Raw genomic sequence first — 18,984 nt, forward strand, 5'->3', positions numbered from 1 at the left:
AATTTCAAATCCAGTAAGTGGCCTCTTTTTACTTACTTCTCCAACCTCCCTCACTATCCCTCAACCTCTTTCTCCTTTCAATCTTGGCGCCACACTTCAATCTCTCCCTTCTTTTAATTTCAATTCCTTTCATTTTCTGGTAGAGACAAAGGAGACACGTTTCATCCGTGGACCCAAAACTCCGGTGCCAGTCACAGACTGGGAAGGCAGCCTTCCCTTGGTGTTTAATCATTGCAGGGACGCCTCTCTGATTATTCACCCACATTTCAGAGGTGTCACACTACACAGGGACACCTGCCTTGGTCCTTCACCTTTAGCAGGAAGTCCCACTTTTCTGGGGGAGGGGCAAGTACCCCAACCCCTTCTCTCCATGTCTCTACCCCTTCTCCGCCTTTCTGGGGGGCAAGAAACCCCCAACCCCTTCTCCTTCACACTTAGCAGCAAGTCCCACTTTTCTGGGGGAGGGGCAAGTACCCCAACCTCATATCTCTGCTCCCCGATCCCTTATTTCTGTGCCCTGACCTCTTACATCTCTGCACCCCAATCCCTTATTTCCGTGCCCTGACCTCTTATCTCTGCGCCCTGATCCCTTATTTCCACGCCCCGACCTCTTATCTCTGTGCCCCAACCCCTTATTTCTGTGCCCTGACCCCTTTCCCGCTTTTCTGGAGGGTAAGAACCCCTGAACCCCTTCCCTCTGTGTCTCTACTCTCCCTTTTCTCTGGGCTTGCCTCCTTCACTATGGGCAACTTTCCACCCTCCATTCCTCCAACTCCCTTAGCCTGTGCTCTCAAGAACTTAAAACCTCTTCAACTCACACCTGACCTAAAACCTAAATGCCTTATTTTCTTCTGCAATGCCGCTTGACCCCAATACAAACTCGACAGTAGTTCCAAATAGCCAGAAAATGGCACTTTCAAGTTTTCCATCCTGCAAGATCTAAATAATTCTTGTTGTAAAATAGGCAAACGGTCTGAGGTGCCTGATGTCCAGGCATTCTTTTACACATCAGTCCCTTCCTAGTCTCTGTGCCCAATGCAACTTGTCCCAAATCTTCCTTCTTTCCCTCCCTCCTGTCCCCTCAGTCCCAACCCCAAGCGTCACTGGGTCTTTCTAATCTTCCTTTTCTCCAGACCCATCTGACCTCTCCCCTCCTCCCCAGGCTGCTTCTCGCCAGGTCGAGCTAGGTCCCAATTCTTCCTCAGCCTCCGCTCCTCCACTCTATAATCTTTTTATCACCACCCCTCCTCACACCCAGTCTGGCTTACAGTTTCATTCTGCGACTAGCCCTCCCCCACCTGCCCAGCAATTTCCTCTTAAAAAGGTGGCTGGAGCTAAAGGTATAGTCAAGGTTAATGCTCCTTTTTCTTTATCCGACCTCTCCCAAATCAGTTAGCATTTAGACTCTTTTTCGTCAAATATAAAAATCCCAGCCCAGTTCATGGCTTGTTCGGTAGCAACCCTGAGACACTTTACAGCCCTAGACCCTAAAAGGTCAAAAGGCTGTCTTATTCTCAATATACATTTTATTACCCAATCTGCTCCTGACATTAAATAAAACTCCAAAAATTAAATTCTGGCCCTCAAACCCTACAACAGGATTTAATTAACCTCACCTTCAAGGTGTACAATAATAGAAAAAAGTTGCAATTCCTTGCCTCCACTGTGAGACAAACCCCAGCCACATCTCCAGCACACAAGAACTTCCAAATGCCTGAACCACAGCGGCCAGGCATTTCTCCAGAACCTCCTCTCCCAGGAGCTTGCTACAAGTGCCAGAAATCTGGCCACTGGGCCAAGGAATGCTCACAGCCCAGAATTCCTCCTAAGCCGCGTCCCATCTGTGCAGGACCCCACTGGAAATTGGACTGTTCAACTCACTTGGCAACCACTCCCAGAGCCCATGGAACTCTGGCCCAAGGCTCTCTGACTGAGTCCTTCCCAGATCTTCTCGGCTTAGCAGCTGAAGACTGACACTGCCTGATCACCTTGGAAGCCTACAGGACCATCACAGATGCTCTAGGTAACTCTCACAGTGGAGGGTAAGTCTGTCCCCTTCTTAATCAATATGGAGGCTACCCACTGCACATTACCTTCTTTTCAAGGGCCTGTTTCCCTTGCCTCCATAACTGTTGTGGGTATTGGCGGCCAGGCTTCTAAACCTCTTAAAACCCCCCAACTCTGGTGCCAACTTAGACAATACTCTTTTAAGCACCCCTTTTTAATTATCCCCACCTGCCCAGTTCCCTTATTAGGCTGAGGCACTTTAACTAAATTATCTGCTTCCCTGACTATTCCTGGACTACAGCCGCATCTCATTGCTGCCCTTCTCCCCAACCCAAAGCCTCCTTCATGTCCTCCTCTTGTATCCCCCTACCTTAACCCACAAGTATAAGATACCTCTAATCCCTCCTTGGTGACCGATTATGCACCCCTTACCATCTCATTAAAACCTAATCACCTTTGCCCTGCTCAATGCCAAGATCCCATCCCACAGCACGCTTTGGGCATTAAAGCCTGTTATCACTCGCCTGCTACAGCATGGTGTTTTAAAGCCTATAAACTCTCCTTACAATTCCCCCATTTTACCTATCCTAGAACAAGACAAGCCTTACAAGTTAGTTCAGGATCTGCGCCTTATCAACCAAATTGTTTTGCCTATCCACCCCATGGTGCCGAACCCATATACTCTCCTATCCTCAATACCTCCCTCTACAACCCATTATTCTGTTCTAGATCTCAAACATGCTTTCTTTACTATTCCTTTGCACCCTTCATCCCAGCCTCTCTTCGCTTTCACTTGGACTGACCCTGACACCCATCAGGCTCAGCAAATTACCTGGGCTGTACTGCTGCAAGGCTTCACAGACATCCCTCATTACTTCAGTCAAGCTCAAATTTCTTCCTCATCTGTTACCTGTCTCAGCGTAATTCTTATAAAAACACACGTGCTCTCCCTGCCGATCATGTCTGACTGATCTCTCAAACCCCAACACCTTCTACATCCTAGGCATGGTTAGATACTTTCGACTTTAGATACCTGGTTTTGCCATCCTAACAAAACCATTATATAAACTCACAAAAAGAAACCTAGCTGACCCCATAGATCCTAAATCCTTTCCCCACTCGTTTTTCTGTTCCTTGAAGACAGCTTTAGAGACTGCCCACAACCGAGCTCTCCCTGACTCATCCCAACCCTTTTCATTACACACAGCTGAAGTGCAGGGCTGTGCAGTCAGAATTTTTACAGGACTGGGATCGCGTCCTGTAGCCTTTTTGTCCAAACAACTTGACCTTACTGTTTTAGGCTGACCATCATGTCTCCGTGCAGTGGCTCCTGCCCCCCTAATACTTTCAGAGGCCTTTAAAATAACAAACTATGCTCAACTCACTCTCTACAGTTCTCATAACTTCCAAAATCTATCTTCTTCCTCATACCTGATTCATATACTTTCTGCTCCCCAGCTCCTTCAGCTGTACTCACTCTTTGTTAAGTCCCACAATTATCATTGTTCCTGGCCCAGACTTCAATCTGGCCTCCCACATTATTCCTGATACCACACCTGACCCTCATGACTGTATCTCTCTGATCCACCTGACGTTCACCCCATTTCCCCACATTTCCTTCTTCCCTGTTTCTCACCCTGATCACACTTAGTTTATTGATGGCAGCTCCACCAGGCCTAATCGCCACACACCAGCAAAGGCAGGCTATGCTATAGTACAAGCCACTAGCCCGCCTCTTAGAACCTCTCATTTCCTTTCCATCGTGGAAATCTATCCTCAAGGAAATAACTTCTCAGTGTTCCATCTGCTATTCTACTACTCCTCAGGGATTATTCAGGCCCCCTCCCTTCCCTACACATCAAGCTTGAGGATTTGCCCCCACCCAGGACTGGCAAATTAGCTTTACTCAACATGCCCCGAGTCAGATAACTAAAATACCTCTTAGTCTAGGTAGACACTTTCACTGGATAGGTAGAGGCCTTTCCTACAGGGTCTGAGAAGGCCACCGCAGTCATTTCTTCCCTTCTGTCAGACATAATTCCTCAGTTTAGCCTTCCCACCTCTCTACAGTCTGATAACAGACCAGCCTTTATTAGTCAAATCAGCCAAGCAGTTTTTCAGGCTCTTAGTATTCAGTGAAACCTTTATATCCCTTACGGTCCTCCATCTTCAGGAAAAGTAGAACGGAGTAAAGGTCTTTTAAAAACACACCTCACCAAGCTCAGCCACCAACTTAAAAAGGACTGGACAATACTTTTACTACTTTCCCTTCTCAGAAGTCAGACCTGTCCTCAGAATGCTACAAGGTACAGCCCATTTGAGCTCCTGTATAGACGCTCCGTTTTATTAGGCCCAGTCTCATTCCAGACACCAGACCAACTTAGACTGTGCCCCAAAAAACTTGTCATCCCTACTATCTTCTGTCTAGTCATACTCTTATTCACCGTTCTCAACTACTCATACATGCCCTGCTCTTGTTTACACTGCCGGTTTACACCGTTTCTCCAAGCCATCACAGCTGATATTTCCTGGTGCTATCCCCAAACTGCCACTCTTAACTCTTGAAGTAAATAATCTTTGCTGGTAGGACTATGCTGAATCTCCTTAGGCACTCTCTAATCAGATGTCCTGAGTCGTCCCAATTCTTAGACCTTTTATACCTATTTTTCTCCTTCTCTCATTCCATTTAGTTTTTCAATTCATACAAAACTGTATCCAGGCCATCACCAATAATTCTAAATGACAAATATTCCTTCTAACAACCCCACAATATCACCCCTTACCACAAAATCTCCCTTCAGATTAATCTCTCCCACTCTAGGTTCCCATGCCACCCCTAATCCCGCTCGAAGCAGCCCTGAGAAACATCGCCCATTATCTCTCCATACCATCCCCCAAAATTTTCGCTGTCCGAACACTTTACCACTATTTCATTTTATTTTTCTTATTAATATAAGAAGATAGGAATATCAGGCCTCTGAGCCCAAGCTAAGCCATCATATTCCCTGTGGCCTGCACGTACACATCCAGATGGCCGGTTCCTGCCTTAACTGATGACATTCCACCACAAAAGAAGTGAAAATGGCCTGTTCCTGCTTTAACTGATGACATTGTCTTGCGAAATTCCTCCTCCTGGCTCATCCTGGCTCAAAAGCTCCCCCACTGAGTACCTTGTGACCCCCTCAGTCCTGCCTGCCAGAGAACAACACCCCTTTTTCCTTTACCTACCCAAATCCTATAAAACGGCCCCACCCCATCTCTCTTCGCTGACTCTCTTTTTGGACTCAGCCCGCCTGCACCCAGGTGAAATAAACAGCCATGTTGCTCACACAAAGCCTGTTTGGTGGTCTCTTCACACGGACGCGCATGAAAACAGGGTCTCTGTCTGTTATCCAGGCAGGAGTGAAGTGGCACAATGATGACTCACTGCAGCCTCAAACTCCTGGGCTCAATGGAAGCCTCCCCCCTTAGCCTCCTGAGCAGCTAGGACTACAAGCATGCATCACCACACCCAGCTAATTTTTAAAATTTATTTTTGTAGAGATGAGGTCTTGCTATGTTGCCCAGGCTGGTCTCAAACTCCTGGCCTCAAGTGATTCTCCTGCCTTGGCCTCCCAAAGTGTTGGAATTAGAGATGTGAGCCACCACATCTAGCCTAAATTTGTGTTTTCAGACATAAAATTGTCACCTTTCAAAAAGGAGCTCTCTGTTGTGCTAAAACAGCCCACTGATGACAAAGAAACCACTCACTAGCAAGGCACCAAACCAAGTGGTGAGTGAAAAGAAGTGCCAGGTTACTAAGCCCATAAATTTGAGATACAAAAACCAGTGGGGAACACTAGAGAGGCAGATCTAGAGACTGAGGTGGAAACCTCTGGAAACACAAAAGGTATCTGAGAACTAGACTGTGACTCTTGAGAATTACAAAAAGGTCAGACACGCCAAAAATAAACCCTCCAAAAGCTGTTTTCTAAGCATCTCACCAGGCTTCAGTTGCACCCCATGTGGCTTTATGGGACCCAGGGCAGAGTTCATATCACACTCAGCTGAACCCTGGTTGACCTTTGGAGTCATAGCTCATAAATCATCCCTGTTTTCCCAAATTTCGGGGCACAAATTGTACCTTTCTCCAAGGGCACCCACTTGGAGACAATCTCCTACTTTGAGGAACTGTGATATTTTCCTAGTCTTGTAAAATAGTATTACTTTCTGGTCCTCCAGGGAGGAGAACAAGGGACAAGTGGAACACTTTGCTGTGAAGAATACACATCCTGGCTACAGGACTTGGTCTTCACATCTCAAGTGCCACCAGCAATAGTATTAGTACTCCCACCATTGGGAGAGAAAGCAGTGACAACTATGCTGCTTTCCAGGGACTGAACTGAAAGAAATTGTGCCCCACAAGTGGCTGTATTGTGGCATCCCATTTTCATTTAATTCCTCTCTACATCCAAGCCTGCAGACTTTATACACTGAAAATGGTATAGATTGGGATACCCAGGTTTATATTATCAACTCTGAAGCTAAATGGCATGTGATCTCTGCAACATCCCAAACCTGAGATGTTTTGGGGACATAGAAGAGGAAGAAGCCAGGGGAGGCTTAGATATCTGTTTAAAGAATTTGCTGTCATTTTATCCTAGGATAGAAGATGTTATGGTACACATCCCTTCCAAATAGGGAACAAACTTTACCAAACTACAAGTGAATCAGAAATTCTGCTTCTGAGTTAATTATGCCAGTAACCTGGGAATTACCTTCTTTATCTTGGCAAGAGTAGCTACTGCTAAGAAAACAAACAAGAAGTTTTGAAGAGCTCAATAGAGACACGTGCCAATGAACAAGGTGAGATGCTGTCTCTGAAGATATTGAACAATGTCACTTCAAAGCACCCCTAAACTATGAAGAAAATGCTGTTTTGTTGCTGCAACTGATGGTACCCACCGTGAATTCTGAAAAATGTTTGAGCCACATTCCTATAATTTTGATGTTTGCTTTTAATTTATGTTTTATAGCCCAGGGCTCTCACACCTGGCAATAAATTTATGAGATTTCCAGAGGAATTACATGTCTGAAATGCATGTGTGAACCTATAATCAAGCACAAAGAAAAGAGAGATGTGACCAGCATCAGGCACCATGTCTTGGCAAAGATAGACAGATGTCTCTCAAACCCTCTATGTTATTGGCCCCCAGTGTGAGATTCAAGGCCTCGGGAGTCTTTGGGGCCCTAATTCATCAAAAACAAAGCAGAAAAAAAAAACTTTTAAATCTTCCCATTCCCCAATTCCTCTTGGTATTAACAGAAATGCAAAGTTTCAGAAACTCAGCCCTTTATCTTATCTACTACCATGACATGCACGTCAACAAGTCTCACAGAGCTATCACCTCTCAGTCCCTCTTTTCTTTTTTTCTTCCTCATTCATGCGCCTGTAATCTAAGCACTTTGGGAGGCTGAGGCAGGTGGATCACGAGGTCAGGAGATAGAGACCATCCTGGCTAACACGGTGAAACCCCATCTGTACTAAAAATACAAAAAAAAAAAAAATTAGCCGGGCGTGGTTGCATGCAACTGTAGTCCCAGCTACTTGGGAGGCTGAGGCAGGAGAATTGCTTGAACCCGGGAGGCAGAGCTTGCAGTGAGCCGAGATCACACCACTGCACTCCAGCCAGGGCAATGGAGCCAGACTCTGTCCCCCGACCCACAAAAAAAAAAAAAAAAAAAAAGGGGAATGAGGCATGACATGCTCAGTTGTTGCAAAATGGTTCAGTAGTACTATTTTTGCAGTTCAGAAGTGTTAAAATGTGTTTTAATTTATCACCAGCAATCAAAGTGGGCAAGGACATTCAGTAGCTACTGAGGAATATAGAAAACTGGGTCTTTAAACAAAAATGAGGAGGGCCTCTCTTCATTTGGGAGGTGGTGGTGTTATTGAACTGTTTAGACTGACTCTGTTGAGTGTTTTCTATATAAAATGTTAATATGGAAAAGAGTGTGAAGAAGCCCTAGCTTTATCAGAATCCCTGTTTTTCTTTCATCCCGCTAAGTTCTGTTGAATAAGCTGTTGGTCATATTCTTCACAATGCTATTCTCATGTTTGTTTTCTCATGTTGGTTGATAGCATCACTAGTTATACAAGCCAGAAGTACAGGAGAAAGTTTACCACCCAGCAAACTCTCCTCTTCTCCTCAGTAACAGGCCCACCATGTCCTGTTGATTTTATATTTAAATATCCTTTTGATGCCTGTTACCACCGTCTTAGCTTAGACCTTCATCAATTCTTGCTTGAACTTTAGTCTAGTGTTTTGATGGGTCTTCCTCCTTTCATTTTTCTCCAATCCATTCTCTACATCACTGCCACAATAAATGATGAAAACTATGTATACCTGATCAAATCACTGAATCTCTTTGATTATTCCCTAACCTACAGCAGTAGTTTTCAATTCTCACTATACATTATAATTACTTGTGGAACCTTAAAAAAAATACTGATGCACAAGTCTCATCCCCAGAAGTTCTTATTCATCTAATCCTTTGTTACTCAAAACGTGGTCTTAGAACAGCACTGGAATTAAGAATTGCAGAATCCCAGGCCCCACCCTAACCTACTAAATCAGAGTCTGTGTTTTAACAAGATTCCTCAGTGTTTTATAAGTACAATAGAATTTGAGAAGAATCAGTTTAGGACATTGGTATTTTTCCTGTAAGTCCACTAGGTGAATTTAATGTGCAAAGTTAAGAGATGCTTAGTATGGCATGGAAGTCCCCTCCTCACCTCTCTAACAGAATCTCACCATTTACAGCAACTCCATCTTCTCTGCCTCTATCACATTCCAAAAATAATCCAAACAGAATCCTCCATGCTATTTCAGGTGTTTGTACACTTGCACATACTGTGAATGTCCTTTTCTTCTCCTGCTTCATTTTCCTTAAGATAAACCTCTAATCATCTTTCAAAATCCTCCTTCAGTGTTTGTGAAGCCTTTCCCTAGAGGCCTTCGCCACGCTTACTTCCCAGAAAGTCTTATTTCTCCCTCTCTCTGTGTTACTTCTCCATTTCTCTTTTGGCATATTTTTCTGTGTTGCAGGTACTCGCTTACATATCTGTCTTGTCTACCAGACTCTGAATTCCCCAAGGAAAGGAATAAAGTATCCATCCCCAACCCCATGTCTACATAGTACCTAGCCCATGGGGTATAGTCAGTAATTTGGACTGAACAAAAGAAAAACAGATTAGAAATCAAGATTACTTTGGACCTCTCTAAAGACTTAATAATACTGTCCACAGATATCTTCCCCTGACAGAAAGTTTGGCTCTAGCTCAAAGCCAATATTCCTCACTTCATTAGGGTCCCTGCTCTAATATCACCTAGTCAAAGTTGAAAGGACTTCCCTGAGAACCCCATCTGAAACAGAACCCTCCTGTACATTGACACATACATGTACATGCACACACTGCTCACTCTGTATCCCCGCTCCTGCTTTTTTGCATCACTGGTCTTCATAGCATTTAAGCAAATTTATAACCTAATGTTATATTTATTTTATCTATTTTTCTCCTTACATTAGAAGGTGAGCTCTGCAAAGTGGGAGGCTTGGTCAGTTTTTCCCTACTGTATCCCCAATACCTACAACAGTGTCTCACACGTAGTAAGCACTCAGTAATTATTTACATATTGAATGAATGGATGAATCCTGATTTAGGTAAGGAATCTTTAAATAAGTATTTCCTAAGGTGTTTTGTTGTAATGTTAATAGATGTTACACAAAGAGAAATCCTGGGTTAAACAAAGTTAAGTGGGATTTTTTGTTTGTTTTACTATAAGACTCCTCAAAGCCTACATTACTACATTACTGTATGCTGGAAATCTCTAATCAAGGAATAGAATTAGTATGTAATATTTCCACAACACAGAACCTTTAGGCATGAGGTTCTACACATGCAAGTGGTACAAAATGATGGGATCTTGCATTTCCCTCTCAGATCCTTGCTCCACTGCCCTGGGACTCAGGATCTAAACGTGTCAATTCAACACCTGTGTGGTCTTTGATGCCCCCCCTCCTCCCCCGCAGTGGTGACTGGGCTTCTCTAATCAGATTCTTGAAACTTCCCTCTTCACCTCATTATACATATCGGTTCACACACCTTGTTTCTGTTTTGTTTTCTACAGCAACAACCGACTGGTGTCCCAGGCCTTTTGGGAGGCCTGAAGCATATGCTCCTCTTGTCTGGAGCCCTGAGTCCTGGGAAGGCTTCCAGACACTGCTGGCCTACCTGCACTTCCTAGAGCTGCTTCCGCTTTGGGACCACTTGTTAGAATCGAGAGCAGAATTTTTTCAAATCTCCTTGGACTCTGTGTCTTAGTGACTACCCAGACAAGAACAACAATAGGTAAAACTAATGAGCTCCTAAGCATTTTTTTCATAAATTAATTCATTCTTCTATGTATTTTACAGATAAGAAAAGTGAGACCTAGTAAGGTTATATAACTTGTCCAAGGTTACTCAGCTGGTAAATGACAGAGCTAGGGTTTAAAACTAAACTCAAATACTTGCCTATCCTCATCTCCAGACTTACCAACCCTGGTTATTAGCAGGTTTGACATCCTGGACTAATACATATACTTACTGCTCTCCCAGACCATCTGCTTTTTAGCTCTATGATTGAATCACCATGAGTGACAATGGATCTCAAGACATTGCATCTCACCCCCATGTCTTCCTACAAGGCTCTTTCATTATCTGTTGTGGTTACATATATTTCAATTAAGCAGAGCCCACAGAAAATGCTTAATACATCTGTTCCTTCATGCAATGAACATTGTTGATCACCTGTGTCAGGGACTGCACAGATGAATAAGACTGGTTCGTCTCATACTTCCCCAACCCAGAGCTCTTGGCCTGTAGAGGACCAAGGAATTGAGGAGTAGGAATTGAGAAGACAAATCACACATCTAACTGGAACCTGCATTAATGAACCCATAACTAGGCTGGCACACTTCCTTGCAGCTTCCCTTTATTACACACTGGTATTGGATGCACACACAACTGTATGGCCCCTTGCCTGAACTACCTGTGTGAAAGAGCCTGCAAACAACGCATCAAATATGTTGAAAATCCATTGACATTTGCCTTAATCACTGAACATAGGCAGAAGGATTAGCTTATTCTATACCATTTCATTGCAGTGGCCAGACCGAAAAAAAAAAAGTTTGTAATTAAAATAATTTTTAAATATGCATGAAACCATGACTAATTTATAATTATACCCAAAAGCGGAAGCAAAACATCTGGACACATATATTTAAAGTTCAGGTGAGAAGCCTTTAAAGTAACATTTAGGAAGCCTCTACCTGTTTATCTACTTTCATGCCTTATTAGCTACTAAAAGAGAGGTGAACAGTTTCAAACAGGGTAGACAAAAAAGCAAAGAATAACACTGCAAAAAAAGCTCTTCCCAAAAAATCACCAGCACATGATGAGGATGGGACCTATTAATTCCTCCTTCCAGAAAGGGCATTTAAGCAATTCAGTAAAGAGCACAGTATCTTCATGACTAGCCTGGGCAACATGTTGAAACCCTCTGTCTACAAAAAATACAAAAATTAGCAGTGTGTGGCAGTGCATGCCTGCAGTGAGGATACTGAGGTGGGAGGACTGTTTGAGCCTGGGAAGTGGAGATTGCAATGAGCTGAGATAGCGCCACTGCACTCCAGCCTGGGTGACAGAACGAGACCCTATCTCAAAAAAAGAAAAAAAAAAGCACGGTATCTGCTGTCCCTGGAGAAAACTGCAATGTGCCACAGCACTCTAGTGTTTCCTTGGACACCCAATTCACCCACTGGAACACACACCTCATTTTCACTACTGTTAGAGTCATTCTAAGAGCCAGAGTCAGGTGAATTTCCAGGCCTTTTTTTTTTTTTTTTTGTCAGCACACAATCGGGATGGAATGAATATGTTCATTTCAGGGAACAGAGGAAAAAAAAAATCACAAGAATAGTAACTGCCACCTTGTGAGGTGTGGTAACAGCTGCCAGGTGCTTTGATATGTTCTATCATTGGGACCTCACAGGACTACATATTGAGGTGCAGGAGACATGGTTCAGAGACCACTTGTTGGGCAAGTGGAGGAGTCAGGATTTGAACCCAATGTGTAAGACTCCAAAAGCTGGCACTTGTTCCCCACCTCTCTCTACCTCTTGAAAAAGGCTGGCTTCAAGAAAGCCTGTAGTCAAATACCTTTGGATTTCTAGCCTGTTATGGAGGAATGGCTTATAGAGCCCTGGAGTTTGGCTCTGTAAAAAAAAAAAAAAAAAATTAGTATATGGATTGTATTAAAAGATCTAAAAAAATTGATGTTATTCAAACATTTATCCCTTCCTATGAAAGTGTATTCAGTCTTTCATTGGCTCACACATCCCAAGTTCTATTTTATTATATTTTATTTTATTTTATTTTATTTTTTTGGGACAGAGTCTCACTATGTCACCTAGGCTGGAGTGCAATGGAGTGATCTCAGCTCACTGCAACCTCTGCCTCCTGGGTTCAAGTGATTCTACTGCCTCTGCCTCTCAAGTATCTGGGATTACAGGTGCATGATACCATGCCAGGCTAATTTTTATATTTTTAGTAGAGACGGGGTTTTACCATGTTGGCCAGACTGCTCTCGAACTCCTGACCTCAGGTGATCCACCCACCTCAGCCTCCCAGAGTGCTGGGATTACAGGCATGAGCCACCATGCTCAGCCCCAAGTTCCATTTTAAAGCTCCTATTGAGCCTCTATGTGTGAGGAGCCAAGCTAAATGTTGGGTTTACAACAGCAAGAAAAAACATGGTCATTGTCCTTGAAGCACTTATAGTCTAATGAGAGAATACAAACTTTAAAGTGATCAGTTTTATTAGCTAGTTTACAGTCAAGCACGAGATTAAGTAGATGACACTATACACAGAGGAAGGGCTCCGTGCCTGGCCTGGAATGTCACCAGAGGCTTTCTATAGAAGGATGTTGAGCAGAGGAAGAGAACCATACACCATGACACAAAAATCATACAGTAGGCCCTTAATGAACAACTGTTGACTGAATAGTGCCCTAGGCAGAGGGGCAGGAGAAAGGGACCAAGAGTGGCTCCAACACTTTGGCTCACAGGGTTGGATGGTGGGACCACCATCTGAGATAGGACATTGGAGGGGAGAGAATCTTCTGCCCCATCTCAGCCCACAGCTCTGGATAAAGGGCAGGGCCATAGGGAAAATATTAAAAATAGATACTTCACCCTGTCTTTATGGGCCCCTCCTCCCACACAAGTGATTGCCCAGGAGGGGACACCTGATTCACGCTGGGCCCATGAACAAAGCAACACTGAAAGACAGAGTCAGTTGGCTGGGAGGACCTGAGCTGTTTATAGGGAGCATTTCCTTTGGAGTTGGTACTAGGGCAAGGCAGTCGTATGCCAGGTAGTTTGAGGGGAGCAGAACAGCCAGAAGTAGTATGATAAATCTATCCTTGCAGGGAAAAGCAAGGAAATGAGGCCAACTAGACAGGGAAGCAGAATGGAGACAGAGACAACCCGTGAGAAAAGTAGGGACCACTTCACTCCCTGGCTTTCCAGCACCTGTGTCTTCATGCTCGGGAACTTACTTGTTCAGCCCTTGGATGCTGGGAAATGCTTTTCTCACAATAAACTCCCTTTGTCTTTACTGTGAGTGGATTTTTGTTTCTTACTGCCAAATATATACTAAGGCAGGACAGATAAGTTTACTTTTTGAAACATTAATTCTAAGGTGCGGTATGCAGAGATGGGCAGCTGGTGGTAAACAGATAAGTAAAGGGCTTAGGAGAGACTTTATGACCAGAGATAAAGATAGGGGCGTGCCACTTCTAGTTTCCAAACCCTTCTATTTCTCTCAATTTCTTAGCCAGTCCTATTTTTCTCCTCCCCCTTGCCAGCTGCTATGAAGAATGTGAGATGCCATTAAGTGTGGGGCTGGTCCTTTGATGAGCCATGTGAAAACAATTGGAATAATAACCCTGCCTAGCCAGTATCACAGGAGCATGATGAGGACAAAATGTCAGAGGGCTTAGAAAGGAGAAAAGAGAGCTTGGGCAACACAACTAGATCTCATTTCTACAAATCATTAAAAAATTAGCTGGGCCTGGTAGTGCACACCTGTGGGCTCAGCTACTCCAAAGGCTAAGGCGGGAGGATTTCCGGAGCCTGGAAAATCAAGGCTGCAGTGAGCCCTGATTGCATCACTGCACTCCAGCCTGGGTGATAGAGAGATGGTGATAGACCCCATCTCATCAAAAAAAAAAAAAGAAAAAAAAGAAAAAGAAAAAAAAAGACCTACAGGTATAGAAGGTTGCATCCTCATCTGCTGTGTCAAGTAGGCAGAGAAAAGACACCCTAAGGAAAGTAGGAATACCTCCAGGAGCAGGGCTGGAGAAATGGCTGTACACCGAGTGCCCTCTGTGTGCTTCCACTCTGCTTGGAACTTGGCAAGCATTATCTATTCTTAATGCTCAAAACAACACCATGAGAAAGTATCATTATTATTTCCATTTTGCAGATGAGGATACAGAGACAGAGTGCTACTAGGGTAGGTAGCACTGGGGCTAATCACTGTTCACCCCAACTCTACCCACACTTCCACAGTTATAGACATGTGGACTGGCTGCATTTAGCAGCTTCGTGTTGGAAGGGGTAGTTGAGAGCTCATGGCTTACTACATGCACCTGGAGCCAATCACGGGAAAGCTCTAGGAATCAACCAGCACCCATGAGTGGGAAGGAGGGGAAAGAAGCCACCTTACAAATGAATTTCCACTTTCTGAATCATAGTTCAATCCAGGAAGACCAAGGCAATGGATTTTGCACCTACGACATAGCCTTCCACCTTCTTGGTTGCCACCCCAAACAAGAGTCAGTGGGCCCTAACACTGGGAGATCTTGAGGCACTGAGGCTGTGGGGCTAGAGGTGAGGTCCAAGGTTGAAGAGAGGGAAAAAGAGCGGAGAGGAGAGCCCAGAGCCAAAGCCCATTTGCAGGAGCTCCTCATCAAAGGGGCTGCTCTTCTCTGCACTCATAGGGCTGCTGGGGCCTTGCAGGCCTGAATCCAAGGCTGTTGCCCTCAGTCCCCTGAGCTCTCACGCTGAGGGTGGCTAGGTCCTGTGCTGAGGCAACAACAGTCCACTTGGAAAAAATAGCTAGAAATCCTTTGACTGCTCTAAATCTCGGTTGTACTCATTTACAAAAAGGAGAGAATAATGCCCACCTTGCAGTACTGCTCTGTGGGCAAAATGAGCTGATAGTGTAAAGGGGTTGTGAAAACTGAAGGACCACATCCTTGCTTGGCTATTACCCGATTATTCTTTGTGTGCAAGGTGACAGTCTCTCTTTTCAATGAACTACGTTTAAGGCATTGCATTTGCTTGTTAGTGACTGGAGACAATATGTAATATGAGTTATGGATGCACGGATTGCCTGGGTGGGACGGCCGTGAAATGCTGTAGGACAGGGGTTCTTAACCCTCAGGACACAGACTGGTTCATGGCCTGTTAGGAAACAAGCCACACAGCAGGAGGTGAGCAGCGGGTGAGCGAGCAAGGTTTCATCTGTATTTATAGCCACACCCCATCACTGGCATTACCACCTGAGCTCCGCCTCCTGAGAGATCAGTGGCAGCATTAGATTCTCATAGGAGCACAAACCCTACTGTGAACTGTGCATGTGAAGGATCTAGGTTGAGCACTCCTTATGAGAATCTAATGCCTGATGATCTGTCACTGTCTTCCATCACCCCCAGATGGGACTGTCTAGTTGCAGAAAAATAAGCTCAGGGCCCTCACTGATTCTACATTATGGTGAGTTGTATAATTATTTTATTATATATTAGAATATAATAATAGAAATAAAGTGTGCAATAAATGGAATGTGCTTGACTCATCCTAAATCCATCCCCCTGACCCCTGTCCTTGGAAAAATTGTCTTCCATGAAATCAGTCCATGGTGTCAAAAAGGTTGGGAACCGCTATTCTAGGGGATGCCGTGACCTCCGTATCATATCTTACCTATGACCATCTCAGCACCAAATCCTACATGTGGTTCTCTAAGTCTACAGTTTTTCCTTTGTTTAGTTGTAATCCATATATTGAAATATACATTACGTAAAACCCAGTGTAGGAACATAGAGAAAATGTTTACCAAAATAACTGGAATATAAAGCAAATGCTTACCTGCCTCTATCGGGAGAGTCAAGTTAAAGCAACAACTACAAAATTCAAAACAAAAACTCCACCAAGGGATATTCTATAGAACATTATTCATTGAATAAATTCCATCTTTGTGACTGCTGCCAATCACCTTGAAGATTTTATGACAGAGAAATCCTCTTTTTTCTTAAAAATGTATACTTGAAAGATGTATACTATCATTCTAAAACTTCACTTTTCCAATACAAAAACCAGAAAATTTAATCTTCATCTTTTACCAAGTATCTTTATCGCTGGATAAAAATATATTCCCTTCCAGGAAAACAAAAAGTTTCAAATTAGAAATACATCTAAACATATGAAACCTTATCAAAAAGAAATAGAGAAGAATGTTATTTGGCTTTAAACTGTCTTAAAGTTGGTACCCCCACCTCTGTTTCAATACTCTTTGGTCAATTAGTCCATTATCAAGGTTTTCAGCTGGATAGAAAGATGGCATCTGCTCCCCATGCCTGGCTGGACTGGAGGACTCTTCATCCCTGTAACTAAGAAAGAAGAGGTGGGTCAGGCACTATTCAAGAGGTGATATGACCATTGATCTCACAGCAGCTCTGAAGGTAGCACCAGCCCAGAGTAAACATCATGGTCTGTGTCCACTTCCCAGTTCCACGTTAGACTCATGACTAAGAGAATGGAAAGAAGGCCCCTCTGGCGTCATCTAATTCAGTGGTTCCTATGTGCCAGGAGGCAGACTGATGCCTGTTCATAATGCTGTTTTCACCAGTCTATCCTATTTTTAAATGGCATTAAGACAATACCTTCCTTTATGAAATGATGGTGATCGTAGAATGTATCTTTTTTAGCTAATATTCTTGTTTGGCAAAATTAAATAGTAAACTCTGCCAGATCCCTACTCTGCTCTCTGCCATTTTGGGAGACATTTTATTATCTGTGAAACCTCAGGATCTTAGAAACATACTCTGCTAGCTCCCTTATTTTCCAAGTAATGCAACTGAAGCCTAGAAGGCAGAGCAACTCCTGGTGAGCTACTCAGTAGCAGTGCCAGGATTTGAACTCAGTTTTGCACCTTCCTGACCAATGATTTTCTACCAGTTTCAACAAGAACAACAACAAAAAGCAACTGCAAATATGCCTAACTATTTCATATCCCCATCATTTGCTGAGGTATCAACAGGATGCTAAATATCCTGCCCAGATGTTGCCTACACATCCTTTTCAAAATAACATGCCAGGCCAGGTGTGGTGGCTCAACATCTGTAATCCCAGCATTTTGGGAGGCTGAGGCAGGTGGATCACCTGAGGTCAGGAGTTTGAGGCCAGCCTGGCCAACATGACAAAACCCTGTCTTTACTGAAAACACAAAAATTAGCTGGACATGGTGGCAGGTGCCTGTAATCTCAGCTACTTGGGAGACTGAGGCAGGAGAATCACTTGAACCTGGGAGGCAGAGGTTGCAGTGAGCTGAAATCATGCCATTGCACTCCAGCCTGGGCGACAAGAGAGAAACTCCATCAAAAAAAAAAAAAAAGGTCAGGTATAAACCAAAAATAAAATTCTAAGGCCCCCAACCATTTGAATGGACCCCTCCTCTCAGCTAAAGGCATTCCAAAATTAACCTGAAAAACTAATTCAGGCCATGATGGGAAGGGAAGGTTGAACATGCCTCATTATACCCTCCTCCCTTTTAGAATTGAGGAAAAGGTGACCAGCATTAACATCAACACAGACCTTAAGTCTAATAAGAAACATTTATGGGCAAGGCATGGTAGCTCACACCTGTAATCCCAGCACTTTGGGAGGCTGAGGCAGGTGGATCACGCGGTCAGGAGATTAAGACCATCCTGGCTAATATGATGAAACCCTGTCTCTACTAAAAATACAAAAAATTAGCTGGGCATGGTGGCATGTGCCTATAGTCCCAGCTACTCAGGAGGCTGAGGCAGGAGAATTGCTTGAACCTGGGAGGCAGAGGTTGCAGTGAGCCGAGACAGCACCACTGTATTCCAGCCTGGGTGACAAAGCCAGACTCCATCTCAAACAAAAAAGAGAAACATTTATGATCTATTCTCTCTGAAGCCTGCTACCTGGAGGCTTCATCTGCATGAGAAAACCTTAGTCGCCACAACCCCTTATCATAACCCAGACATTCCTTTCTATTGATAATAATTCTTTCAATCAATTGCCAATCAGAATTTTTTTTTTTTTTTTTTTTTTTCTGAGACAGAGTCTCACTCTGTCACCTAGGCTGGAGTGCAGTGGTATGATCTTGGCTCACTGCAACCTCTGCCTCCCAGGTTCAAGCAATTCTCCTGCCTCAGCCTCCTGAGTAGCTGGGATTACAGGCACCCGCCACCAGGTCTGGCTAATTTTTGTATTTTTAGTAGAGATGGGGTTTCACCATGTTGGTCAGGCTGGTCTCAAACTCCTGACCTCAAGTGATCTGCCCGCCTTGGCCTCCCAAAGTGCTGGCATTACAGGCATAACCCACCACGCCGAGCTGCCAATCAGAAAAATTTAAAATCTACCTGTGACCTGGAAGCCCCAGCTTTGAGTTGTCCTGCCCTTCCAGTTCAAACCAATGTAAATCTTACGCTGATTGATGTCTTATGTCTCCGTAAAATGTATAAAAGCAAGCTGTACCTGACTACATTGGGCACATGTCATCAGGACCTCCTGAAGCTGTGTCATGGACGGGTCCTTAACCTTGGCAAAATAAACTTTCTAAATTGATTGAGACCTGTCTCA

At 43.9% G+C, this 18,984-nt stretch overlaps 1 protein-coding gene across 12 annotated transcripts in view, besides 2 other annotated features; it reads right to left on the minus strand.

Moving 5' to 3' along the window:
• SAMD3 (sterile alpha motif domain containing 3) overlaps window positions 1-18,984 on the minus strand; it is a 223,117-nt gene that overhangs the window by 50,094 nt on the left and 154,039 nt on the right. For all 12 annotated transcript variants that reach the window (XR_001743174.3, XM_047418239.1, XM_024446335.2 and 9 more), the window contains one exon: window positions 16,650-16,763. Coding sequence is in view for 11 of the 12 variants with exons in the window: in XM_047418239.1 (XP_047274195.1) it covers window positions 16,650-16,763 (114 nt within the window). In the remaining variant the exon portion in view is untranslated. The remainder of the gene's footprint in view (window positions 1-16,649; window positions 16,764-18,984) is intronic.
• Window positions 1,817-2,317: an enhancer, noted in NCBI's record as "H3K27ac hESC enhancer chr6:130515807-130516307 (GRCh37/hg19 assembly coordinates)". NCBI's record gives its function as "activates a minimal SCP1, AML or CMV promoter by ChIP-STARR-seq in naive H9 embryonic stem cells {active_cell/tissue: H9 hESC(naive)}" and the evidence as "EXISTENCE:reporter gene assay evidence [ECO:0000049][PMID:30033119]".
• Window positions 4,777-5,357: an enhancer, noted in NCBI's record as "OCT4-NANOG hESC enhancer chr6:130518767-130519347 (GRCh37/hg19 assembly coordinates)". NCBI's record gives its function as "activates a minimal SCP1, AML or CMV promoter by ChIP-STARR-seq in primed H9 embryonic stem cells {active_cell/tissue: H9 hESC(primed)}" and the evidence as "EXISTENCE:reporter gene assay evidence [ECO:0000049][PMID:30033119]".

This window comes from Homo sapiens, chromosome 6 (genome assembly GCF_000001405.40).
Source record: "Homo sapiens chromosome 6, GRCh38.p14 Primary Assembly".
NCBI lineage: Eukaryota > Metazoa > Chordata > Mammalia > Primates > Hominidae > Homo > Homo sapiens.